Source organism: Homo sapiens, chromosome 1 (genome assembly GCF_000001405.40).
Source record: "Homo sapiens chromosome 1, GRCh38.p14 Primary Assembly".
Taxonomy (NCBI): Eukaryota; Metazoa; Chordata; class Mammalia; order Primates; family Hominidae; genus Homo; species Homo sapiens.
In genome coordinates, this window is record NC_000001.11 from 62,964,806 (window position 1) to 62,972,162 (window position 7,357).

A 7,357-nucleotide genomic window follows, 5' to 3' on the forward strand; every position below is an offset into this window, starting at 1 on the left:
CTGTGGAGGCTGGAGCTCATCCTCCTGATTCTCCAGTGCCCCCTGTTTTCACCACATTGCTCTGCCTCCACTTGGTGTTATATAAACCGTGGCCTGAGTAGGGGACACGAATAGTGGAATCCCATGGATGCACTTTCCATGTCAAGCTTGGCAGGACTCACTTTTGGGATGGCCTCACAGTATCCAATTGGTGGTCCTGAGTTTTCAAACAACAGTTAAATTATGTTCTTTATTCTCTCTTTTAAAAGGCAAGGAAGAGTGTAACATATTTCCCACAAAACGATTAACATTTAATAAAAAGTTTTAATGTTATCAGGAAGATTAGGCTCTCCAGAATGATTCATTCCCAGAGGGTTTCAGATGGCCACAGTTTTAGTAAAATTGCTCTCATCTGGAGAGCACCTTTCACTTACCCAAAGCATTTTCATGTGTGGCGATGCATTGCAATCTTTAACATTTTTTTTTAATGTTTAAATCATGTAATCGTCCTTTAAATGAAATCTTACTTGAAACCTCAATATATAATGGAGCTACAAACAGAACAGTTCTAGGTGAAGCTGGGCTGAGAGACTCTGAATCCCACCCATGGACTCCCTCGCTTCCCACCCACCCTGGAGGCGCCGCCATGCAGCCTAGGTCCGGGCTTCTCCACACCTGCTGTCTCTCATCCACAGAATGCAGATTCCGTGGCTTCATATTGCCCCGCTGATTCCAATCTCGGAGTTGAGGCCTGGGCATCTGCATTTTAACAAGCCCACACAAGGTGGTTTTTATGCATTCCGAAGCTTGAGAAACTCCATCCTAGGCTTCCAGGGAGCATCGTTTGTAAACTCATTCCTTCTGTTTTGACATAAATTGAGTAGGTATTATTATCCTGATTTTACAGTTGACACTATGTTTGCCCAGGGTTGCACATTTCACTGGTGGGGACAGAAGCTAAACCCTGGGCCCTTCAACATGGTGTATCCCCTGCATTCTTCCCATCAGACCATGCGGCAAGAATGGATAGAATGGGGTAAGCACCTGACACCATGTGAGCCCAGGCCCACATTCTATCAAAGGGGGTATCAAAGGCCACCAGATTGTCTCTAGCTCTTTCCCTATCTTTCTCGGAGAAAGGAGAAAGGTGTCACACAATGGATGGAGTATGCCAGTCACATGGGTCTGAATTTGGATCCTCCCCTTCCATTTCCCAGTCATGAGCCTCAGTTATAAAGATTAGAAAGCATACAGTTGGTCCTCTGTATCTGTACGTTTCAGATCCATGGATTCAACTACCTGCTGATGAAAAATATTCAGAAAAAAGGAACAAATAATAATACAACAACAAAAATTAATACAAATTTTAAAAACAATGTAGCAGCTATTTACATAGTATTTACGTTGTAATAGGTATTATTAGAAATCTAGAGATGATTTTTTTTTTTTTTTGAGAAGGAGTTTCGCTCTTGTTGCCCAGGCTGGAGTGCAATGGCACGATCTTGGCTCACTGCAACCTCCGCCTCCCAGGTTCAAGGGATTCTCCTGCCTCAGCCTCCCGAATTACTGGGATTACAGGCATGCACTACCACGCCTGGCTAATTTTGTATTTTTAGTAGAGATGGGGTTTCTCCATGTTTGTCAGGCTGGTCTTGAATTCCTGACCTCAGGTGATCTGCCCGCCTCAGCATCCCAAAGTGCTGGGATTACAGGCATGAGCCACCGCGCCCAGCCAGAGATGATTTAATATATGGGAGGAAGCATGTAGGTTACATGCAAATACTATACCATTTGATATTGGGGACTTGAGCATCTATATCTTGGTATCCCTGGGGTTCTTGAACCAATCCCCTGGGGATACAGAGGAATGACTGAACATGTAAATGGCCTAGCAGATGCCTCACCTCAAATGCTTAATAAATTGAGAGCTGTTATTGCTCTTACCCTTAAAGTGTGGCCTCGTGCAAAGAGGGGCCCTGTGTAGACGACTGTCCTCTTGTACCTCTCTGGGTCAGGTCCCTGGTAAGCAGACTGTGTCATCCCCAGCAGCAAGGCCCACAGGCGTAAATGTGGGACAACTAGGGTCCCACAGGACACCGCTAACAGGAATGTCCTGGTCCGGAGCACAGATTGTTCAGAGAAAGAGCCATGTCCATGAAGCAAAGAGGGATTCGTTCTCCTCTGTGGCTTGGCCTCCGCCTGCGGGGAGACCTTCGTTTTGTAAATGGCTCATTTCCCTCACAGCATCACCCACCTTCCCTGAGTCACTGCCACCTTTTCATATGGATCATCAAGAGTTGGAAGGGGGCCTGGGGATCCCAGGACTGGCTCCACGCCACTTGTATCCTTCAGCTAATCCCCCCAGTGGGACGATGGCCCAGGAGAGCGGCTAGCGGGCCCCAGCATCTGCCCCAGCGTCCTGAACCAGGATGACAGGCTCTGTAAGTGAGCCTCCTTCCAGCTCCAGGCAGCCGCCCGGCGGGTCCTCAAGGCCCGCTACCCTATACCCTACAGCTGCATCTCCACTCTCTGATGGGTGCAGTAGCCTTCCTGTGAACTGGTGTCCCTGAGTGGGAGCCTTCCAGGGTAGCCTTCCAAGGCTGCTTCTCATGGCCGTGACCCAAAAGGGGAGGATCTGCATCCCAGGCCCACATGGGGGCGTGGACGATACCGGTGCTCAGAGTGGGCCACTCCTGGATTGAAGAGAGATGGCATTTGGGGCAGTGTGAGCCTGAAAGAGAAACTGTCTCCTAGGAAAAGAAGGCAATTGGGCCACGACTCAGAGAGGATGTGCAGAAAGGAGGGGAGGAATAAGAACGAGGATCCCAAGCAACCCCTCGTCCACTGTGCCGGCCCGGGGTCATCTCTGCAGCAGGAAGCTGACTGGTACTTCCTCACTCCCCATATGGAGGAGTCACACTGGTCAGCTTTTCCAAGTCACCTATCCAGGCCCCCAGCCCTTCATGTACCCCCTACTTCCCTCATCAAATCTCTGTGCCCAGAACGCCATCTTCCCTTTCACAGAGAACTCAACCCACCCACTGGACTCCAAGCTTCTGGCCTCTGTGGTGAACCCCAGGGAGGTGAAGCCCTCTTTCCTCCCTGCTCCTAGAGCCTGGGACCCTTCCAAGATATAACACTCTCACATTGTTTCATACCTCTTGTGTGTATGTGTCTGTTTACACCCTTGATTGAACTTCTTGCCATATTATTTTGGTATTTCTAGTGTCTACTACAGAACTTAGCACACAGTAGGAGCTTAATAAATGTTTGATGAGAGGCCAAAAATATATGGAAAAATATTCCACATCACTAATCATCAGAGAAATGCAAATCAAAACCACAACAAGATACCATCTCACACCAGTCAGAATGGACATTATTAAAAAGTCAAAAAACAACAGATGCTAGCCAGGCTGTGGAGAAAAGGGAACGCTCGTACATACGGTGTTGGTGGGAATGTAAATCCGTTCAGCCACTGTGGAAAGTAGTTTGGAGATTACTCAAAGAACTTGAAACAGAACTATCATTTGACCCAGCAGTCCCATTACTGAGTATATATCCAAAAGAAAACAAATCATTCTACCAAAAAGACATGTACTCACATGTTCATTGCAACATTATTCACAATAGCATAGAGATGGAATCAACCTAGGTGCCCATCAATGGTGGATTGAATAAAGAAATTGTGGTACATATACACCATGGAACACTATGCAGCCGTAAAAAAGAATGAAATCATGTCCTGAGCAGCAACATGGAAGCACCTGGAGGCCCCCTGTCCTAACCAAATTAACACAAGAACAGAAAACTCAATACCATGTGTTCTCACTTATAAGGGGGAGTGAAACATTGAGTACTCACGGACATAATGATGCAAGAATAGACATTGGGACTATTAGAGGGAGGATGGAGGAAGGGAGGCAAGGGTTGAACAACTAACCGTTGGTTGGGTACCATGCTCAGTACCTGGATGATGGGATCATTCATACTCCAAACCTCAGCATCACACAATATACCCAGGTAACAAACATGCACATGTATACATTGAATCTAAAATAAAAGTTGAAAGAAAATGTTGAATGGATCGATGAAAACATTTTACATGGAGCATCCCAGAACCTGTGCCACACAAAAGGATTGTATTCAGAGGTAAATAGGAATGGCCCTGCTGCCACCAACACCCCCAGCACATTCAGCACAGAAATAAATGCACAGATATGGACTGGGGCAAGTGCTAGGACAGCAAACAACAGGAGGTTATGAGCCAGGAACAGGAACTCTGCTGGCGATTGGTGGTTGAGGAGGACCACTGGCCCTGAAGGGCCAGGTGGGGAAGAAAGCTGAAGAAAGGGCATGTGAGGGGTCAAGGCCCAGGGGGCAAGAGCTGGACCACCTGAAGGAACTAAAGGAGGAGAGATGTAGCTGTAGCCACATGAGCAAGAGAGAGAGGCCTAGAAGGGCCAGGAAGGACAAAGAGGCCAGGTCATTAGGGCCTTTGAAAGAGAGTTTGCCCAGGACACTCTGATTGATACCTGTTGTCCCAGCATATTATTATTATTATTATTATTATTATTATTATTATTATTATTTTGAGATGGAATCTCACACTCTTGCCCGGGCTGGAGTGCAATGGTGCAATCTCGGCTCACTGCAACCTCCACCTCCTGGATTAAAGTTATTCTCCTGCCTCAGCCTCCTGAGTAGCTGGGGTTACAGGTGCACACCACCACACCTGGCTAATTTTTTGTATTTTTAGTAGAGACAGGGTTTCACTATGTTGGCCAGACTGGTCTTGAACTTCTGACCTTGTGATCGGCCTGCCTCGGCTTCCCAAAGTGCTGGGATTACAGGCATGAGCCACCGTGCCTGGCCCCCCGGCACATTATTAATAGCATCTGATTCACCCTCAGAAAGGTCTCAGTTTGGAGGATAAATTATAAGGTTGCCCTGCTCATAGGCCATGTGAAGACATGGATACAGTTGTCCCTTGATATCCTTGGAGGATTGATTCTGGGCCCGCCAGAGGATACCAAAATTTGTGGATGCTCAAGTCCCTGATATGAATGGCATCGTATTTGGATATAACCTGTATACATCTCCCTGTATACGTTCAATCATCTCTAGGTTACTTGTAATACCTAACACAATAAAGGCTATGTAAGTAGTTGTCATATTGTTTAGGGAATGATGATGACAAGGGAGAAAACTCTGTACAGGCTCAGCACAAAAGCATTTTTTTTCCCTGAATATTTTTGATCTGTGTTTGGTTAAGTCCACAGCTGCAGACGCCACAGAACGGATGAGGAACCCGTGGATATGGAAGGGTGACTGCACACATATGCTAAGCATAATGGAAAGCTAGTGAAGGGTTTTAAGCAGGGGAACAACATGACATTCATTGAACGAATGAGGATTGGAAGAACTCTTTTAATTGTAAAAAAAAAAAAAAAAAGTAGACCGAGGATAATGAGAGAAAGGAAAACCCTGAGGAAGAGGAGTGCTGCTTCCTAGCTGGGAAGAGCTGGAGTCGGAGGGAAGATCTTGGAAGTCACTGCATGCTGAGTGCATCATGTCTGGAACAGAGCTGGGGGCAAGTGTTAGGGTGATGTTGCCAGATGCCTTCTTAAAACAAAGAACTAAATAAATTCTAAAAGAGAATGAAGTGAGGCATTCTAAAACTGAACGGGAAGTAGGAGCAGTCAGGCCTTACATTTTATTTGGATTTGTGAATAAAAGCTGGGCTTCAAGTTAACTTCACTTATTGAATGCCTCCTCTAGGCTAGGTGCTACAAGAAAGAGAAGGAAGCACCAACTCAGGACCTGATGCAATCTAAGTATAGAGATGGAAATGATGTCTACCAATATACACATGTTATCACCTAATATAACCATATAATGATGTATAGTATCATTCTATAAAAATATTTATCTATAAAGCTACATATTGAATATTATGCACACACTGTACATGCTATTATACATATTCTATAAATGGAAAAATTATTTCAATGTATGAGAAAATGAAATAGAAATAAGAGGGCCAGGTCGGGCGTGGTAACTCATGCCTGTAATCCCTCCACTTTGGGAAGCCAAGGTGGGTGGATCACGAGGTCAAGAGATCGAGAGCGTGCTGGCCAACATGGTGAAAACCCATCTCTACTAAATATAAAAAAATTAGCTAGGCGTGGTGGCATGCGCCTGTAGTCCCAACTACTGTGGAGGCTGAGGCAGGAGAATTGCTTGAACCCAGGAGGCGGATGTTGCAGTGAGCTGAGATCGCACCACTGCACTCCAGCCTAGCAACAGAGCGAGACTCTGTCTCGAAAGAAAGAAAGAAGAGGGCCAATGGAGAGATTGGAAGGCCAGTACCATCTGATGACTGGTGTAGACAGTAAGTGTGGCAGGAGTGGACAGAAGATCCATTCTCTGAGGTGGGAGGTCAGGAGAGTGATGTTGAGGCCATGGGATGAAGGGCTGATCCAGAAGGAAGGGGGTGAGGAGAGTGCAAGGATTTCTAAGGAGAGAAATGGTGTGATTACAAGCTGCAAGGTGGATCACCTGAGGTCAAAAGTTCAAGACCAGCCTGGCCAACATGGCAAAACCTCATCTCTACTAAAAATACAAAAATTAACTGAGTGTGGTGGTGTGCACCTGTAATCCCAGTTACTTGGGAGGCTGAGGAAGCAGAATGGCTTGAACCCGAGAGGCAGAGGTTGCAGCGAGCCAAGATTGCGCCACTGTACTCCAACCTGGGAGACAGAGCGAGACTCCATCTCAAAAAACAGCTCCAAGGCTGCAAAATATCACAGGTTTAGCCTGAATCTATTGAGCACTTACCATATTACAGGATTGTTCTAAGTGCTTTATAAATATTTATCTGCATATTCTCACAACAACTGTATAAGATAGGCACATTTAATTCTCATTTTATAGGAGAGGGAACTTGGGCAGTGAGAAATTATCTGGCTAAGTTCACACAGTGAGGAAAGGACAAAATCAGAATTCAAACCCAGGTGGCCCTCTGCAGAGCCCATGTTCTTGGCAAAGACATCCTCTTGTACTCTGCAAAGTGTTCGGCCAACAGGGAGTGGTCATTTTAGCTGGGCCACATGGAGTCATTGCATGGGGACAGGGTGACTAAAGGACAGAGCAAGGGCTTTGCAGTCAAATGGCCTGAGTGTGCATTCCCTCTGACAGTGAAACCTCCTGAGCCTCAGTGAGCTCAGTGTAAATACGGGAATAATGGTACCCCCCACACAGGGATACTGTGAAGATTCACCAAATAATGTCTACAAAGTGATGTTCATTAAACCATAGCTGGAAAGCTACATGTTGTAAGCACTGAGGATTTTTTTAAAATTGAGACAGGGGTCTC

The 7,357-nt window shown here is 46.0% G+C and overlaps 1 annotated feature.

The window, feature by feature from the left end:
* Nucleotides 1,888-2,388: an enhancer, noted in NCBI's record as "H3K4me1 hESC enhancer chr1:63432364-63432864 (GRCh37/hg19 assembly coordinates)". NCBI's record gives its function as "activates a minimal SCP1, AML or CMV promoter by ChIP-STARR-seq in naive H9 embryonic stem cells {active_cell/tissue: H9 hESC(naive)}" and the evidence as "EXISTENCE:reporter gene assay evidence [ECO:0000049][PMID:30033119]".